The sequence below is a fragment of the Homo sapiens genome, chromosome 2 (assembly GCF_000001405.40).
Source record: "Homo sapiens chromosome 2, GRCh38.p14 Primary Assembly".
Lineage (NCBI taxonomy): Eukaryota > Metazoa > Chordata > Mammalia > Primates > Hominidae > Homo > Homo sapiens.
In genome coordinates this window covers 115,965,670-115,987,623 of record NC_000002.12, presented here as the reverse complement: position 1 = coordinate 115,987,623, position 21,954 = coordinate 115,965,670, and positions in this window count along the sequence as shown.

The window sequence follows — 21,954 nt, the reverse complement described above, 5'->3', positions numbered from 1 at the left end:
TTTTAGAAATTCCTTTATAGTGGCATCCAACAACGGTTTTTGAAAAAGCTACCCCAAACTGGAGATGTAAAATAGCAAATAATTTGTTCTCTCGTGAGCTACTAATTACGTTGAATATCTAAAGGAGTATTTGATAGTTAGATACATGCATTTGTTAATGTGGACCAGACTGGAAGGGCTAGAGAATGAAAGGGCATACCCTTACGAACTTGCAAATTGGTCCAAGTGACTTAATTATAAACAGATGAGAAAAAGTCCAGCCACTCAGGTCCTCCTTGATATGCAATTAAAATAAAATTGGTACTCAGTCTGTTTTTTTCTGTCATTAATCCAATAAATATTTACTACTTCATAAGAAACAATGAACAAAAGAGTGTGTCTTTATGCTGAACTTATAAATTGATGAAAGTACATTTTAAACCCCTAAAAAATGGATAAGGAGGCAACATTTGGGAAGAGATCTAACTGAAAAGTTTCAGCCAAACAGAGAAGTCATTATGTAAGCAGGCAGAGAAAACACTGCATAGGAAGGCCTTGAAAAGAAACTATATCTAGCATTTCAAATAACAGCAGGTAGTCAGGATGCTTAAATAGATATTAATATGAGAGATCTAGCCAGGGCACAGGTCTACATTCCAGGCTGCTTAGATTATGCTAAGGACTTTGACTCAAACCACTAGAACATGCTGTGGACTAAATTGTGTTCCCTCAAAATTTAATAGCCCCAATTCTCATTAAGACTGTATTTGGAGATAGGGCCTATAAGGAGGTAATTAGGATTAAACATGTTCATAAAATGAAGATCCTAATATGATGGGATTGGTAGCTTTATTAAAAAAATTAAGAGTTTCCCTTTCCCCCACCACACCCACACCCACACTCACACCCACACACAGTGTACACGTGCACGTGCACCCAAAAAAGGCCATGTGAGGACATGGCATGAAGGCAGCCATCTACAAGCCAGGAAGAGAGCCCTTATCTAGACCAGAATTAGCTGTAACTTTGATGTCCAGAACTGCATGAGGATACATTTCTGTTGTTTCTCACACAGTTGGCATTACTTTGTTATGGCAACATGAAAAGGCTAATAGAGAATACATCCCAAGAAATCTGAATATAACACACTCTCCATATACTTTCTAGACAAACAACAGGCAGCCTTCTAAATCGTACTGAACATCCCCCCAACCCCAGGATAGGTGATTGGAGGCAGTATTAGCATGTCTCTCCCACTTGGAAAGACAAAATAGTACACAGATACTCCCACTGTGAGATTTTGTTTCTAAGAAGAAATGCAAGAACTTAATAGGAAAACAGAAATCCATAGACCCTCTGAAAGAAGCAGCAGGCTGCCACCTACACCATGAGCAAGCAAAAAAACTAAGTCCTCAGAGTATGAGAGGGGGATAGACTGCCCAGACCTAGGGAAGGCATTCTTTATTCTGCCTCACAGGGGACCTCACAGAGGTCTCTCAACTAACTCAGGCACCAGTAGCACGTTGAAAGAATCTCCCAAATGAATTTTGCGATATAAACTCAAATGGGGAAGAACTCCCTTGCTCAGAACCCATGAGTGAGTGGGAAGTGTGCTGCAACCAAGACCACAGGAGCTCTGCACCCTGGATGTGCAGGCAGACTGGGAAGGGCATAGCATGAAAGCCATGGTTGTCCATCAACAAGTGGGCAAAGGATATGAATAGACACTTCTCAAAAGAAGACATTTATGCAGTCAAAAGACACATGAAAGGATTATAAATTATGCTACTATAAAGACACATGCACACGTATGTTTACTGCGGCACTATTCACAATAGCAAAGACTTGGAACCAACCCAAATATCCAACAATGATAGACCAGATTAAGAAAATGTGGCACATAATACACCATGGAATACTATGCAGCCATAAAAAATGACGAGTTCATGTCCTTTGTAGGGACATGGATGAAGCTGGAAACCATCATTCTCAGCAAACTATCGCAAAGACAAAAAACCAAACACTGCATGTTCTCACTCATAGGTGGGAACTGAACAATGAGAACACATGGACACAGGAAGGGGAACATCACACACTGGAGCCTGTTGTGGGGTAGGGGGAGTCGGGAGGGATAGCATTAGAAGATATACCTAATGTTAAATGACGAGTTAATGGGTGCAGCACACCAACATGGCACGTGTATACATATGTAACACACCTACATGTTGTGCACATGTACCTTAAAACTTGAAGTACAATTAAAAAAAAAAAAAAAGAAAAGAAAAGAAAGCCATGGTTGCTATCTCTGCAGGGAGAGTTTATGGCCTGGGGCAGTTGTGAGTTCTGAGCATAGATCGCCTGGAACTTAGTTCTCTACTGCTAGAGAAAAATTGCATCTGGGAGATCTGCCTTGCCAAGTCCCTAGATGGGTTTACTGCCACTTGCTACTTCCCACTCCCTACACAAACTCTTCTGCAGCAGAGGCAGCTACGCTCTTCTCTGGAATATTACCCCAGTGGCCAGAGAACTGCCCTCCTGACTCCCACAGGGGCCACTGCTTACCTTGCATGCTGAGAGCCTGAGTGTAAACCTGCCTGACCCAGCCCCCACCTGGTTTTGCCCTTGCACCCACCCTGGTAGCTTAACACAAAGGACAAACCTTTCGGGAGCTTTATGACTCTGCCTATCATCTGAGAAACCAGTGTACCTCCCCTGGGTTACATAAGGCAATCACAAATCTGACCAATACTACTAGGTGCTCTTTTAAAAGTGTCAGCTCTTGGCTGGAAACCAACTGACACAGTCCACTACAGCATTTCCAGGTAGAAAAACACTATACCCAGGAAGGAGAGAACCTGTGTGCAACCTAAATTACCACCATTGCCTTCACAATCCTGGCTAATCAGGAGGTCCTAAGTCTGTCTACCTCATAGTTCATCACTACAATAACTGGCATTTGAGAAAGTCAGCAAACTAAGCCTATCTATAACCAAGGAATCTCACAGAGTCTATGTCACTCCCCTGTCATCCCTATCAGAGCGGGTGCTAGTACCTACTGCTGGGAGACTTAACAACAGGCCACATCTCAGGATCCCTTGCAGACATTCACCAGCACCAGCCTGGAGTGTGGTGGCCTTAGTGGGTGGCTACACCCCAAAGAGCAACAGCATTCACAATAGTCTGGCTCTCTGGAACTTCTATTTCCTAGAGGAAGGAGAGGGCCCCAAATCAAGGGGACATCCTATGGGACAAAACCCAGATGGCAGACCTTGAGTCCCAGACCTTTCTGCTGGTGGCAAGTTTCTTCCAGTGGAGCCACAGTTGCAGTGCTAGGCTCAGCTGAGAAAGTCTTCAGTTCTACCACAATGCTCGGGAAGCTCTGTTACTCATGAAATGTCTTAGAGAATGGGACAAGTTTCCCATTTGTCCACCACTGCAGACACAGTTGGGGTTTTCCCATAGGAGCTCAGTGTGGGTGCACCTAGAGACAGATGTTCTGCGACACCTCAGGGGGGATGCATCCCCACAGGAGAAATGCCTCCAAGTGCAGGTTTACATGAGAGGTAGAACCACAGTTTCTTTCTAGTTGAAACACCAACATTCCCACAGATGTAAAAAAGGTACCTGTCTGATCTGAATAGCTGGAACACCAGGTCAGGAGTGTGTCTTGGTGAGGGAAAGACTTCCTGCTGTCCTGGCAGAGAAGCTGAGGTAAATCTGGTCCTTCCCACTGATAAGACCTCAGTGTGTTTCACTGAGAGCTCTCCCAGCCACCTCCGTCCTCTGCCCAGACATTGGATACTGCATTTACCCACCTGCTTTAACAACATCTGGTTTCTACCTGTAGACACATCCCTTATTGGGCTGAAGCCTGAACTATTCAACCCAGTAAATAAAATCCTGGGGAAAAATTAATAAATAAAAAAGTAAACATCATGGGGGAATGAAATAAGCTTTGAGAGGCATTTCCTACAGGAAACAGTGAACTTGCTCACACAGTGAGCACATTGCTACTATAATCAGCACCCGAGAAGGCCATCATACAAAGACCTATAACCAAGGAATCCATACTGAGTCTTCACCCTAGAAAGCACCAGTACCTAAGTTAGGTTTCAATAAACTATAAATGTTAAAGTCACATCCATAAAAAGGAAAAAAATAAAAGAAGTCAAAAGTAAATTCAAGAATAATGTGAAGAAATAGTCTACCCAAATGAGAAGAAACCAGAAAAATAATTCTGATAATAGGACAAAACAGAATTCTATAATACCCCCAAAAGATCACACTAGCCCTCCAGCAAATAAAGCAAACCAATATGAAATCTTTGAAATACCAGATAAAAATTTCAAAAGGTTGATTATTAAGCTACTCAAGGAAATACCAGAGAAAGGTAAAAACCAACAGAAAGAAATTAAAAAAAATTCAGAATATGAATAACAAATTTTCTAGAAAGATAGATATCTTAAAAAAATCAGAACTTCTGGAAATGAAATACACACTTAGTAAATTACACAATGCAAAGGAAAGTAGAAGAAAGAATTTCAGAACTCTAAGACAAGTTTTCAAATTCACCTAATAAGACAAAAATATTTCCGAATTCATCTAATAAGACAAAAATAAAGAAAAAAGAATCAAGAGAAATGAAGGACATCTCTAAGAATTATGAGATTATGTAAAATGGCAAAACCTAAGAATAATTGGTATTCCTGAGGGAAAAGAGAAAGCAAAAAGTTTGGAAATCTTTTTTCAGGGAATAATTGAGGAAGACTCCCTGGCCTTGCTAGAGATTTAGATATTAAAATACAAGAAGCTTAAAGAACACCTGGGAGATACATTGCAAAAAGGTCATCATCAAGACATACAGTCATCAGGCTATATAAAGTCAACATGAAACAAAGAGTTCTAAAAAAAAAGTGAGAAAAACACATGAGGTAACCTATAAAGAAAAATCTACCAGACTAACAGCAGATTTACAACAGAAATCTTATAAGCCAGAAGGGACTGGGGTTCTATCTTTGTCCTGTTGAAACAAAATAACTGTAAACCAAGAGTGTTGTATCAGGCAAAGCCAAGTTTCATAAATGAAGGACAAATAGGTCATTTTCAAACAAACAACTACTGAGGGAATTTGTTGTTATCAGAGCAGCCCGATAAAAAAAATGCTAAAATAAGTTATAAATCTTGAAACAAAAGCTCAATATACACAAAAATAGAACCTCTTGAATGCACAGAACTCACAGAGCCTATAAAACAATAACACAATAACAGTAACTAAAAAAGTATCTGGAAAACAATTGACATGATGAATACAACAGTACCTCACACCTCAGTATTAACATTAAATGTAAATGGCCTAAATGCCACACTTAAAAGATACAGACTAACAGAATGGATAAAGAATCACAAACCAAATATCTGTTGTCTTCAAGAGACTTACCTAACATGTAAGGATTCCTATAAACTCAAGATAAAGGGGTAGAAAAAGGCATTCTATGTAACTGGAAACCAAAAACAAGACAAACTGAAAAAACAAAAACAAATCAACACCAAAAACAAGCAAGAGTAGTTATTCTTATATCAGACAAAGCAGACTTTAAAGTAACAACGGTAAAAAAAAAAAAAGGCAACTGTCATTATATAATGATAAAAGGATCAGTCCACCAAAAAGATATAATCCTAAACATATATGCACCTAAATCTGGAGGTCCCAGATTCATAAACCAATTACGACTAGACCTAAGTAATGAGATAGACAGGAACATAATAATAGTTCAATACTCCAGTGACTGCACTAGACAGATTATTGAGACAGAAAGTCAACAAAAAGACAATGGGCTTAAACTACACTCAGGAACAAAGTGACCTAACAGATATTTACAGAACCTTGTACCCAAGACCTCCATAATATACATTCTTCTCATCACCACATGTAACATTCTCCATGATAGAACATATGACAGGCCACAAAACAAGTCTCAATAAACTTAAGAAAATTGAAATCATACCACGTTATCTTCTCAGACCACACTGGAATAAAACTAGTTATCGACCCAAAAGGAACCCCTAAAACTATACAAATACATGGAAATTAAACAATCTGCTCCTGAATGATTTTTGGGTTAACAATGAAATCAAGATGGAAATTAAAAAAAAATTCAAAATGAATGATAATAGTGACACAAGTTATCAAAATCTCTGGCATACAGCAAAAGCAGTGTTAAGAGGAAAGTTTATAGTGCTAAATGCCTATATCATAAAGCCTTAAAGATTATGAATCGACAACATAATGTCACACCTCAAGGAAGCAGAGAAACAAAGCAATCTGAACTCAAAGCTAGTAGAAGAAAAAAAACAGTAACAAATATCAGAGCAGACCTAAATGAAACTGAAACAAAAAACACAATAAAAAGATCACTGAAACAAAAAGGTGGTTCTTTGAAAAGATAAACAAAATTGACAGACCATTAGCTTGGTTAACCAAGAAGAGAGAAGATTCAAATAAGTGCACTTAGAAATGAAACTGGAGACGTTACAACTAACACCACGGAAATACGATCATTTATTACTACTATGAACACCTCTATGCACACAAACTAGAAAAACTGTAGGAAATGTAGGAAATTCCTGGAAACATATAATCCTCCCAGATTAAATCAGGAAAAAGAGAAACTCTCAATGGATCAATAAACATAAAGATTGAATCAGAAAAAAAAAAAAAAAAAAAACCTACCGCCACCACCAAAAAACCCCAAGACCAGATGGATTCGGAGCTCAATTCTACCAGATGTCCAATTGGTACCAATTCTACTGAAACTATTCCAAAAGATTAAGAGGGAATCCTTTCTAAATCATCCTTGTAAGCTAATTTCACCCTGATACTAAAACCATGAATTAACATAACAACAAAAAAAGAAAACCACAGACCAATATCCCTGATGAACATAGATTAAAACAAACAAACAAACAAAAAAAGAAACCTCAATAAAATACCAGCTAATGAAATCCAACAGCACATCAAAAAGATAATACACCATGATCAAGTGGGTTTGATCCCAGAGATGCAGGGATGGTTTAACATATGCAAGTCAATAAATGTGATATATCACAAAAGCAAAATTGAAAACAAACCATATGATCATCTCAATAGGTGCAGAAAAGCATTTGATAAAATACAGCATCTCTTTGTGATAAAAAGCCCTCAGCAAACTAAGCATAGAAGGGACTTACCTTGAATTAATTAATAAAAGCCCTATATAACAGACTCACAGCAAACATCATACTGAATAGAGAAAAGTGGAAAGCAATGCCCCTGAAAACTGGACAAGACAAGGATACCCAAGTTCACCACTTCTATTCAACATAGTATCTGACATCCTAGCCAGAGCTATCAGGCAAGAGAAAGAAATAAAGGACATTTACAGTGGAGAAAAGGTAGTCAGACTATCACTATTCACTGATGATATGATTATATACCTAGAAAACCCTAAAGGTTGCTCAAAAAGCCTCCTAGATTTGATAAACACATTGGATAATATCTCAGGTTACAAAATCCATGTACACAAATCAGTAGCACTGATATACACCAACAACGACTAAGGTGAGAACCAAATCAAGAACTCAATCCCTTTTACAACAGCTGCAAAAAAATAAAATACCTAGGAATTAACTTAACCAAGGAGGTGAAAGACCTTTACAAGGAGAACTACAAAACACTGCTGAAAGAAATCACAGATGACACAAACAAATGAAAACATATCCCATGCTCATGGGTTAGAAGAATCAATACTGTGAAAATGACCATACTGCCCAAAGCAATCTACAGATTCAATGCAATTCCCATAAAAATATCAGCATCATTTTTCACAGAATTAGAAAAAAAAATCCTAAAATTCATATGCAACTGAAAAACAGCCCAAGAGCCAAAGCAATTCCAAGTAAAAAGAACAAATCTAGAGGCATCACATTACCAGACTTCAAGTTACGCTACAAGGCTATAGTTACCCAAACAGCATGGTACCAGCATAAAAGTAGGCACATAGACCAATGGAATAGCATAGCAAACCAAGAAATAAATCCAAATACTTACAGCCAACTGATCTTTAGCATAGGATACAAAACATAAATTGGGGAAAGGACACTCTATTTAATAAATGTTACTGGGAATGCTGGCTAGCCAACATGCAGAAGAACGCAACTGGATCCCGATCTCTCACCCTACAGAAAAATAAACTCAAGATGGATCAGAGTTAAATCTAAGACTTGAAACCATAACAATTCTAGAAAATAACCTTTGAAAAATTCTTTTAGATGATGGCCTAGGCAAAAAAAAAATATGACTAAAACCCCAAAATCTAATGCAGCAAAAACAAAAATAAATATTCAAGACCTGATTAAACTAAAAAGCTTCTGCATGCAAAAGAAATAATCTTCAAGAGTGGACAGACAACCCACAGAATGGGAGAAAATATTTGCAAACTGTGAATTCAATAAAGGACTAGTATCTGGAATCTACAAGGATCTCAAACATATCAGCAAGAAAAAACAAATAATCTCATCAAAAATTGGGCAAATGATATGAATATACTTTTCTCAGAAGAAGATACACAAATGGCCAACAAACATAAAAAATGCTCAACATCAATAATCAACAGTGAAATGCAAATTTAAAACACAATGAGATAACATCTTACTCCTGCAAAAATGGCCATTATTTTAAAAAGTCAAAAACAACAGATGTTGGCCTCGATGTGGTGAAAGAGGAATGCTTATATGCTGCTGGTGGAAATGTAAATTAGCATAATCTCTACTGAAAACAGTATTTAGATTCCTTAAGGGACTAAAAGTAGATCTACCATTTGATAAAGCAATCCCACTACTGGGTATCTATCTACCCAATGGAAATAAGTCATTACATGAAAAAGATTCATGCACACATGTTAATTTCAGCACAGTTCACAATTTCAGAGATTCATTCATGTAACCAAAAGTCACTTGTACTCCAATATCTATTGAAATAACATCAATAAATACTGAAATGTCAAAGTGAAATCTCCTAACTACATCTCACTATAGCCACAGATTTCCAACATTACTTCATTTTTGTTATACTTTGGATGACTTTTTACCCAGACTCCTTTGTCCCATTTTTTAAAAGGACAGACACGGTACATTGAGCTTAATTTTAATGTTCTCTCTAAAATGCTAATAATTATGGCTCAATTATTACAGTGGTTTTCTTGTTGGAGTTTTCTCCCTTTAGCTGCTCTAAATTGTGAGTGGTATAGAGTCACAGAGCTTACTTGATTATTCACCCAGTCCACTGCTGATGCTACGTGTTTCTTCAGGACCTGTCCTTTAGAATACTTCCCAGAGGCAAGCACATGGTTGCCTATATTAAAGCCACCTGTATATCACTTGCTAAGTCCTCTTTGTCAACACTTGCCCTCATTGTGACTACAGAATCACTTTTTCTAGTTTTTAAAATTGTTATCGTAAGACTGTGCTTGGAAATATTCCCAGGGATTAGTATGATGATTTTGTTGGGGTGTTTGGAGATACATTTGCCAATGCTGTACATGTAAAATTTCCATGACAACTTATAAAATAAATACTTTGATCTCTTTATCAGCCATCAATGTTAACATATAAAATCAGCTGAATTAAAGTTAAGACTATGTAAACAGATGACTAGAACCTCTTCTTAAGTAAAAATATGTGTGGTTCCCTTAATTACTTGTCATTGGAAATTTGTAATTCCTTTCAATTTTCTGAACATATGCACAATTTTACTATTCTAAAAAAATAACTATTCATAACTACTCACTTATTTTCTCCTTTCACGCACTTCTAATTTTTGGAAGAAGTGATGGGCATTTGTTCCCTATAACTCTTGCCATCTATATCCACCTGGATCCGTAGCAATTTGGGTCTTATCTGAACTACTACGATGAACTGCACTCAAAATTACATTTGATGTGATACACACAGTAACTCAATTCTTTCTTTGCTTTCATCTTTTGCAATCATCTACCTCCCTATGCAGTCTGGACAAATACTGTCAAATTCCTAACAGCATCATCATTAGCACTGTTGAAATCCTTCCATCATTTAGTAGATGCTAAGCCTGTGTTGTCCTTCATTGCCCTGAGATGCTATGCAGTTTATCTGCTTGCACACTTCAGATGCAAAACATAGATGGGAAAAGTAAGGAAGCATACTGATTTGCATTCCTACATATTTGTATGCTTTACTGTTTCTCCTGATGCTTCTGCTTCCAATTGCCATCTTCACCTTCGTCATCTCTAGCTTCCTACTTTACTCTCCTCAGTCACTGTTCATTCTTAGCCTCTGATTTCTATCACTTCTTTTGCTGTCCAATTTGTGCTTCCTCTATTTCTTTCCTCAAATACCTCTCCAGCATCATTATGTCACAAAATTATTTGCCCTGAGAATCTCTTGCTCTTCCCCTGCTTTGTGCTGCAGGGAGACTGATTCTTATCTCACTGTGTCAGCTGCATTCCAGCCAGAGTCCACCTATGAGTGGCTCTGGTAAGAGATTGGAAGGCCGAAGATTCTGGTAGTTTTCTTGTCAGTGGCTGTCTCTTCTCCTACCTACTGCTCCTACAAGAAAGGCCTGCAAAGGTTTACACTCCTGCTATGTGACATCTGAGCTTCTGGTAAATCTCATTCTCCCCTTGTCCCTCTGTCTGGGAGTGGAATGTTTCCTGACATCGCTAGTCTGTGTGTGGCTTCACTGTTGATTTGACTGCTTTCACTTTTCTGTCATCAGTATAACCAAAACCCTGCAGAAAACTGCCTCTGTTGTAAATACTTAAGGTGGTTTTTGTTCCTGGTTGGATCCTAAAGAACACAAAATCATTCTCCTTATGATTTCATTGGGTATCCTCCTTTTCCTCAGTACTTCCACTGGATCTCCCTCTTTTATTACTTAACCTGGCCCTTCCACTGGCAAAGCAAGTCTTCTTCTTGCTCTTGCACACTCAATTGCCCTAGTTGACTAAACTGTTAGGATAATTTTATAAAAAGATGAAAAGGAAAGAAAATAAAATATTTCAACAAAACCAAACCAAATTTCTCTGAATCCTTTTAGGTGTGTTTCATGACTCCACCACACTCGCCCTTCCTCTCTTTCTTTCTCTATCTTCTCCCTCTTCCTTCCTTGTCGTTTTTCCTGCCATGTCACTCAGCATGTGAGTTTTGGGCCAGCACATGCATCTTTGGCCTTCAGAATCCAGAGTCTGCAGTTATTACTTGATTTTCTTCAGTACATAATTTTATTTGGCAATTATATTTGTAACCTTAATTTTAAAATATCAGAATATTATTTCATCACGACTATATAATCTAGTTTTATATTTGCTTTGTTGTATGTATGTGTATGCCAATCAGAAATAGCTTAATTGCTTTCTTCATTCTTACAGAGAAACAATTTTAGATAAGAGAATTTTCTGATTCTTCAGGGGAGAACCTTTCTTTTGACTTAAGCTGATTTTAGATAATGCCAGAGACTTTTATTTTTTCCCGTGTTAGCTCATTCAATATTTGGGCGTATTTACTGGAGCCATCACAGCCCCAACTTTTCTGGCTGTTGTGAAGATATTTTTCACTTCTTTCTCTGGTAAAACCTGTTTCATAAAGACCTGGGCTTTAATGCTCTGACGTAAAGCCTTGTTGCCAGGGACTCTGTATCCACATCTCCCTCCCACATTTCTCTGTTCTATCAGCTTCTCCTTTGACTTGATTTCACCCTCCAATTAGGGATATTTGTGTATCTTCGTTGTCCTTCTTGACTATTGTAATAGATTTGCAATTCTTGACCAAAGGTCATCCCATTATTCCCTTATTTAAATTTCATTCCTGTTTCGTATCACTGAGGCGCTTAAAATTCCTATACTGGCATGAGGGTAGCAGCATTTCCTGTGCTAAGTAGCAAAACAGATCCCGAGGAGGAGATCTAACTGCTTAAGCCTACATCATCATCATGTTGGGAAATCTTGACATAAAAGCCATTTTTAAACCCCATAAAGCTTTCAATAAGTAGAAAGTGGTAATAAATGTATTTTAGAAAGAGTATCCTAACATACACAAAACATTACATTTTATTTTATAGGATAGAAACACTTTAAGTTATAAACTTCTTTACATTTATTTACTCACACTAAGGAGTTTCCTCTTTGCATCAGTCTATTAAAAATGATATCCAGGTGCTTCCAGTGGGGACAAGATGGCATGGACCTGTTTTTCTTTCCCTTTTCTGCTAAGCACATCTATGAACCCTGAAAATGGCTCAAGAGACAACCAAAGGAGAACTAAAAGAAGAAAAGTGTGATATTGTTTGGAACCCCAGGACCAACAGAACAGTACAGTGGTAGGGCATCTTGCATGTCTCTTACTCAACAGAGGAAGGCCACCCAGTCCCAGCTTGTCCTGATCCTCATCTTAGCAACAAAAGACAGTGCATTCCTCCCCTAGATCAAACATTCTTCTGATAATATCAAGTGAGATGATCTACAACACCACTGGTGAGGAATCATTTGTGAGCTCTTCCAGAAGCTACCAGTGGAGGCCCTCTCTCCTCTTGCCTGGCCTGAGAGTCCCCTTTTACTAAGAGATACTGGAGTGAAAAGGGCTCCAGTCAATAGAAAAGAATCAGAGAAGCAGGTGGCCTGGATTGGAAAGCCACTCTGTCCCAATGAGTTAGGGACTCTCTTCCACTTCCCAGAGACACCAGAATAGTAGGAGATAAGTGAAAAAGTAGGAGTATCCTGCCATGCCTGTCCTGTTCCTTCATGGAGAGACATCCTGCTACCTGGTCTGGGGAAATTCTGATCATTCAGGCAGTGCCAAGAGGGACTGCTAGGACCCCTAGTGGCACCAGATTAACCAAGCATACCAAAATAACAACATAAAGGTTCTGAAAATAAAACTACCACTGGAATCGTAGCCCATGAAAGTGGGCCAATACTCATAAACAGGCAAATGCCTTTGTGGGGGTATACACACACACACACACACACACACACACACACACACACACACACACATCAGATCCAGAATCTAACATAATACACAAAATGTCCAAGAAAAATTAAAAAATCACCTATTATACCAAGAACTGAGAAAATTATAACTTAAATGAGAAAATCAACTGATATGAATACCAAGAAAATTCAGATACTGAAATTACTGAAAAAAGATTTTAAAGAATCCATAATAAAAATATTTCATTAATAACAAATTATCTTTAAACAAATGAAAAAGTATAAAACTCAACAAATAAATAGAAATGATTTTAAAATGAAGAAACAAATGGAAATTTTAGAACTGAAAAATACAAAATAGAAATAAAACTTATTGGGTGGACTCAATAATAGACTGAGGATGACAGAGGATAAATCAATTAATTTAAGAATAAAGCAATGGGATTCACCCCAACTGGATATCAAGGGGAAAATAGGCAGAAAAAAAATGGACAAAGCCTGGGGTCTTGTAGCATAATAACACAAGATTTAACATTCATATTATCAGGATAGAAGAAAGAGAGTGGGTCACACTGAGAGTATTTAAAGAAATAATGGAAGAAAAATCACCAAATTTAGTATAAGACAAAAACCTGTAAGTTCAAAAGGTTGAATAAATACAAATCAAGATAAACTGATATAATCCATGCCAAGACACACCGTAATTGAACTTTTGAGAAATAAAGCAAAGAGAAAAAAAAAAAAAAAGAATATCCAAGAGACAAGCAGCACATTAACATAGAGGAACACACATTCAAATCACAGTGAGTTTCTCAACCATAGGGGCCAAAAGGAAGTGGATTGTTTTTTCGAGTGCCAAAAGAAAATAACTGTCAACTATAAATTCTATAGCTGCTGAAACTATTCTTTATTAATAACAGAGAAAAAAAAAACTTTCCCCAAAGATACAAACAGAATGAATTTGTCACTAACAGACTTACCATTAAAAACTGTCTTAAGAAAATTATTCAAATGAAAAGAACCTAATATAAAGGAAAGGATCTTGGAATATCAGGAAATAAGAAAAAACAACAGACAGAACAGAATTATGAGTACATTCAATAGGCAATTCTTTTCCTCATGAGTTTTATAAATTATATTTGATATTGAAAGAAAATATCATCTGATATCCAAGACAATGATATTTAAAAGTTGATGAGGGTAAAAGCCCTAAGTGAAGGTGATATTTTCACACTTTATTCAGAGTGGCAAGGTGTTGATGCCAGAAGACTATGCTCACAGCAACCACTATGGAAACTATGCAAAGAAATATACTCAAACACACTGTAAGTAAATCACAAAAGAATACTGTAAAAATGTAAGAAACCTACAGAAAGTTAAGCTGAACAAGACCCAGAGAAAACAAACACAATAGAAGTAATGAAATGACAGATTTAAGCTGTAACATATCAATAATTACCTTAAATGTAAATATGCTAAATGTACCAATCAAAATAGAGATTGGCAGAGTTGATAAGCAGAACACATCAGGGGTTCCCAGCCCACGGGGCTGTGGACCTGTACAAGAAACTAGCCCGCACAGCAGGAGGTGAGCAGTGGGAGAGAGAGCATGACCACCTGAGCTCCATCCACCTCCTGTCAGAATAGCAGTGGCATTAAATTCTCATAGGCGCTTGAACACTATTGTAAACTGTGCAATCAAGGGATTTAGGTTACACATTCCATATGAGAATCTAACTAATGCCTGATGATCTGAGGTTGAACAATTTCATCCTAAAACCATCACCCCCTGGTCCGTGGAAGAATTGTCTTCCATTAAACCACAAAACCAGTCTCTGGTGCCAAAAAGGTTGGGGACCAATGGAATACACCATTAACCATATGCTGCTTACAAGAAAGTCACTTCAGATTCAGACATTAAGTAGGCTGAATGTAGAAGGATGGAAAAAGACATACATGCAAATATTAATTTAAAAAAGGCAAGGAAAACATATCAATATTGGATAAAGTAGCCTCCAGAGCAAAGAAAATTATTAAAGACAGAGATATGTTACATAATAAACGACTCAACTCACCAAGAAAACATAACAATCCTAAAGTGTGGGCACCAAATAAAAGAGCCTCAAAATACATGCAGTAGAAACTATTAATACTATAAGGAAAATATACATAATTACAGTTGGAAAATTCAACACTGCTTATTCAGCAACTAACAGAACTTTTAGAAAAAATATTAGCAAGAATATAGATCTGAACCACACAACAGAATCTAATTGACATATATAGAACTCATCAACCAAAAACATCAGAACACATTTTTTAAAGAGTCCACGGAAGATTTATAAAAATAGACCATAGCCAGGGCCATAAAAGAGCCTCAACAAATTTAAAAGACTTTAAATCTTGCAAGTTGTGTTTTCTGGGCCTAATAGAATCAAGCTAGAAATCAGTAACAGAAAGACAACAAGAAAATCTATAAAAATGTGGAAACTTAAAAAACACACACATTTTTAAATGCAGTCCATGCATCTCAAAGGAGATTTTTTTAAAAGACAAAACTGAACAGGAAATTAATATTGTGAAAATTTCCACACTACCCAAAGCAATATGCAGATTCAATATATTCTCTATCAAAATTGCAATGGCAATTTTGAGAAATTGAAAAAACAATACTAAAATCCATATGGAACCACAAAAGACCCCAAGTAGCCAAAGCAATCTTGTAAAAGAAAAACAAAGTTGAACGCATCACTCTGTCTCATTTCAAATTACATCATAAAGTTACAGTAATCAAAACAGCATAGTACCGACATAAAACAGACAGATAAACGAGTGGAACAAAATAGAGAGCCCCAGAAATAAAACCAAGCATATATGGTCAACTAATTTTTGAAAACGGTACCAAAAACATACAAAAGAGAAAGAATAGTCTTCTTCAATAAATGATGCTGGGAAAACTGTCTAACCACATGCAAAAGTGTAAGACTGGATCATTACCTTACACCATACACAAAATTCAACTCAAAATGCATTAAAGATTTACATGTAAGACTTGAAACCAAAATCTCCTAGAGGAAAATAAACGGGGAGAGCCTCTTTTTAAAAATTATTTTATTTTTATTCATTTATTTAATTTTTAAACAGTGTCTCACTCTGTCACTCAGGTTGCAGTGCAGTGGCATGATCACAGCTCACTGCAGCCTTGACCTCTTGGTTTGCAGTCCTCCTAAGTAGCCTCCCAAGTAGCTGGGACTACAGATGTGTGCTGCCATGCCCAGCTAATTTTTAAAAAAATTTTTAGAGACCACGTGTAACTACATTGCCCAGGCTAGTCTCAAAATCCTTGGCTCAAGTAATCCTCCCACTTTGACCTCCCAAAATGCTGGGATTACAAGCTTAAGCCAACAGGCCCGGCTGGGAAAGCTTCTTGATGTTGGTCTACACAGTGAGATTTTGGATAGGATAACAAAGCACAGGAAACAAAAGAAAAGGTAAAAAAGTAGGTCTACATCAAAGTAAAAAGTTTCCACAAACAGGAAGTAGATAATTAATAAAATGAAAGGGCAGCATATAGATTGCGAGAAAATATTTGCAAACCATTTATCAAAAAAGGAGTTAATATTAGAAATATATAAGGAACTCACAGAATTCAATAGCAAAAAATGAATAATCCAGTTAAAATATGGGCAAAGAACCTGAATAGACAACTCTAAAGAAGATATAAAAATGACCAATAAGTATATGAAAAGGTGTTCACCATCACTAATGATCAGAGTAATGCAACTCAAAATTACAATATCACCTACCCAATAGGATGGCTATTATTAGAAAGACAAGAAACAGCAAGCGTTGGTAAGTTGGTAAGGATGTGAAGAAAAGAAAACACTGTTGATAGGAATGTAAATTATTGCAGCCATAATGAAAAAACAGCGTAGCGTTTCCTAAGAAAATTGAAAATAGAACTGCCATATGACCAAGAAATCTCTCTGCTGGGTATACACTCAAAGGAAATGAAATGAGCATCTTGTAGAGAGCAGCTGCACACTCATGTTCATTGCAGCATTATTCACAATAGGCAAGATATGAAAAAAACCTAAGCATCCATCAATGAATGGTTGGACAAAGAAATTATGTGCAATGGGTTATTCAGCCTTAAAAATAATCTGCCATTTGTAGCAACATGGATGAACCTGGAGAATATTATGTTAAGTGAAATAAGCCAGATCGAAAAAGAAACACCCTGCCTGACCTCTCTTATATGTTGATATGGTTTGTATCTGTGTCTCCACCCACATCTCATGTTGAATTGTAATTCCCAGTGTTGGAGGTGGGGCCCAGTGGGAAGTAATTGGATCACGGAAGTGGATTTCCTCCTTGGTACTGTCCACATGATAGTGACTGAGTTCTTCCAAGATCCGGTTGTTTAACAATATGTGGCACACTCTCCTCCCTCTCTTGCTCCTGCTCCTGCCATGTAAGATGCCTGTTCCTGCTTTGCCTTCCACCATAAGTAAAAGCTCCCTGAGGCCTCCCCAGAAGCAGATGCTGCCATGTTTCCTGTATGGACTGCAGAACCATGAGACAATTACACCTCTTTTCCTTACAAATTACCCAGTCTCAGGTATTTCTTTATAGCAATTCAAAAATGGGCGAATACATGTGTGGCATATATAAAGAAGTATAGTACATAGATACATGGTAGAATGGTAGTTAACAGAGGCAGGAGTTAGGGCAGAAATGGAGAGATGAAGGTTAAAAGGTACAATTGTGCAGCTATGCAGGATAAGTCTAGAGAACTAATCTACAGCATGAAGACTATAGTTAATAATATTGTATTATACACAGAAAATTGGCTAATGGAGATTTTAGGGGATCTCACACATTTTAAAAGATGACTTCATAAGATGATGGATATGTTAATTGGCTTGAATATAATAATCATTTAACTATGTATATGCATATCAAAACATCAAATGGTATAACTTAAATATATATATAAATGAATAAAACAAAATTGAATTTGAAAGAAAAGGAAAAGCATAGCAAAATATGTGGAAGGCATAAAAGCATAGAAAGGGATTAAATGAATAATTTAATTTCTAATCACAAGGAACTACAAAAAGAAAAGCAAAATAAACACAAAACAAGCCAAAGGAAGCAGTTAATAAAATAACAAAAATTAATAAAATGCAAAATTGTTTAAAAATGCAGAAAAATCAAATGATATGAAAAGCTTATTCTTTAAAATAAATCAATAAAATTAGTAAATCTCCAATAACACTAACAAATGTAAAAGAACAAAGGACAAAAATTGCCACTGTCAGAAATAAAATAGAAGATATCACTAGAGATTCTACAGCCAAGGACAAGATAACAAGGGAATACTTCAGAAATACTTTGCACTCATAAACTAGACAACTTAGGATAAATGGATCAATTCCTCAAAAACCACACACTACTGAAACTCAAGATGATCCGAATAGACTCATAACCATCAAAGACCTTAAATTCATAATTAAAATTCTATTAAAATATAAATCTCTGGACACAGAAGTCTGATGGTTTTAATAATTCTACCAAATATTTTTAAAGAATTATTACAAATTTTTAATAATCTCTTCCAGAAAACAGAAGATGAGGAAATATTGCCCAACTCATTTTATAGGACTAGTATTACTGAACTACAAAAGTGTGTTAAGGCAGCTTCCTGCTCCCCACCATGAAAAAACCACAGGCAAAGAGCTCTCACAAATGTAGATGCTAAATACTCAAAAAATATTAGCAAACAAAATCCAAAAATGTACAAAATAATTATACACTATGACCAGTTGAAACTTATTTCAGGGTTTCAGGCCTGGTTGAATATTTGAATATCAAACAGTGCAATTCACCATATCAAAAAGTCAAAAAAGCAAATTCTGATTATGCTAAGTAACAGAGGAAAACATTAAAAAATCCAACACCAGCCAGGCACGATGACTCAGGCACGTAACACCAGCAATTTGGGAGGCTGAGGTGGGCAGATCACCTGAGGTCAGGAGTTTGAGACCAGCCTGGCCAACATGGTGAAACCTCATATCTATTAAAAATACAAAAATTAGCCAGGTGTGGTGGTGGGCGCCTGTAAGCCAGCCTACTTGGGAGGCTGAGGCAGGAGAATTGTTTGAACCCGGGAGGCGGAGTCTGCAGTGCAGGGCACTGCACTGCAGCCTGAGAGACAGAGTGAAACCGCGTCCCCCTGCCAACAAAAAAATCCAACACCCACTCATATTAAAAAAAAAAAACTCCAAGAAAAGTAGGAGTTGATGGTGAAAGTCTTCAATTTGATAAAGAAAATCTACAAAAAGCCAGCAATGAACACTCTTGGTTATAGACTAAATTCTTTCCCCCTAAGATCATGAACAAGGCAAGGATGTCTGTTCTTTTTACTCTTATTCAACATGATCTGCATGTTCTAACAAGTTCAATAAAGCAAACAAAAGGGAATTAAAGTCATACTAATTGAAGCAAAAGAAATAAAATTATGCTTCATTTGCAAATGTCATGATTGTCTGTATAGAAATTCAATACAAGTCTCCTCTCCAAAAAACCCAAAAAAACAAAAACTCAAATACTAAAACTAATGAGTGAGTTTATTTGGTCACATGATGCAAGATCAACACACAAAAATCAAACATATTTCCATACATTAATACACCATATGTGTGTGTCTGTGTGCTTGCACACGAGTGTGCATGTGCATGTCCATGAGTGTGAGCGTGAGTATATACAGAGGTGTACTTAAAGAAATTGGAATTGGTTTGTGTGATTATTATAAGGGTTGGCCAGTCCAAAATTTGTAGAGCAGGCCAAGAAACTGAAAACTTTCAAATGATGCTGCAGTGTTTAGACAGATATTTTTCTTCTTAGAAACACTTCGGTATTGCACTTAAAGCCCTTCAACTTATTGGATGAGGCCCACCATTGAGAATAATGTCTATTACTTAAAATTAGCTGATTGTAGTTGTTAAAACATCTACAAAATGCCTCCACAGCAACACTTCAAGTATTAAGTTGGTACAAAAGTCACTACAGTTTTTGCTTTTGAAAGTAATGTCAAAAACTGTACTTACTTTTGAACCAACCTAATAGCAAATGATCAAATGATTGTGTACCATAACCTAGCAAATTTAACATATTAATTAACCATTGCAGTTTACCTTGGTCAACGTGGTGTCCATACCTATCCCCCAAATCATACTTAATTTCTAAATAAAGACAACAATGAAGTCATACTTCCATGCAACATGATACAGCAATTGTGCCTGCAACTGAAAACACAGTAGTCCTTTTCCCAGAAGAGGTGACACAGTCCTTAGATGAAGTTCACTCTTCTTCAAATCTTAAATACTGTGATTTAAAGTTAACCATTATTCAATACATCTTATGTTAGATAATGAGGGGATAAGAGAGGGTAGAAAGCAAAGATTTGATGCACAAACCTATTTATCTTTAAAAAAAGAAAGAAATACTCAACAATTACAACTCTTGTCTCTGCAACTGATAACATAGTGGTGAGCTTGTTTGTATAATTCTCTCTTTCTACTACCCATTCCATATTCTCTTTACTCCAAACAAGCACCTCACCTGGTCATGTTTTTTGTTTTGTTTTATTTTGTTTTTGCCTCATTCAGTGACCCAAATCTTCATTTCCAAAGTGACCAAGCCATTGGAAATTGTGTGTGAATTGAGATGTTGTAGTTTTTTCCATGGAAACTTTTGTCACTGGGACCTTCCCTGAGGGAGACATATTCTTCCTTATACCCCCTGTGTCATGGCAGGCTAATTTTCCCTTGTTAATCAGAAGTAATCTTTCCTGACAGCAAAGTAACTCCCTCCTTTGATGATTCAGATGCACAAGGAGCCCAAAGAGGCTCTGTGAAAGACCTAACCCCCAGTTTGGTGGGATCATTGCTTTGTTTCCTGATAGCAGCAATCCTCCCTTTGAAACAAAAACCTCTAGACCAGTAGAGCATCGTAAGGTCAGAGGACAAGAAGCAAAAATTTTACTAGTATATTAAACAATAAATAAAGGAAAACTTTCTTAACTTGATAAAAAAATCTGCAAAGAACATATAGTTAACATTTATACTTAGGTGTGAAAATGCAAAGCTTTTCAACTGGGATTAAGAACAAGGCAAGGGTATCCTGTCACCACTACTTTTCAACATTTTACTACAAAACCTAGCTAATGCAATAAGACAAGAAAATAAAATCAAACGTATACAAATTGGGAAGGAAGAAATAAAACTGTCTTTGTTCACATAATTACCTACGTAGAAGATTTGAAAGTATTAATCAAAAACAATAACAACAACAACAACCGGAACTACTAAGCAATTCTATCAAAGTTTCAGGATACAAAGATAATATACAAGTGAGTCACTTATCTATATAGCAGCAATGAATAAATTGTTGCTAGAAATTGGTATTAAAAATTTATTACCAAGTCGTTCCAAGATGGTCGAATAGGAACAGCTCCGGTCTGCAGCTCCCAGTGTGATCAATGCAGAAGACGGCTGATTTCTGTATTTCCAACTGAGATACCTGGTTCATTTCATTGGGACTGGCTGGAAAGTGGGTGCAGCCCATAGAAGGCAAGCTGAAGCAGGGCGAGGCACCTCAGCCGGGAAGCACAAGGGGTTTGGGGATTTCCCTTTCCTACCCAAGGGAAGCCCTGACAGACTGTATCTGGAAAAACAGGACACTGCTGCCCAAATACTGCACTTTTCCTATGGTGTTAGCAACTGGCAGACCAGGAGATTCTCCCCCATACCTGGGTCGGCGGGTTACACGCCCACAGAACCTTGCTCACGGCTAGCGCAGAAGTCTGAGATCCACCTGCAAGGCTGCAGCCGGGCGGGGGGAGGTGCATCCACCATTGCTGAGGCTTAAGTAGGTAAACAAAGTGGCAAGGAAGCACAAAGTGGGTGGA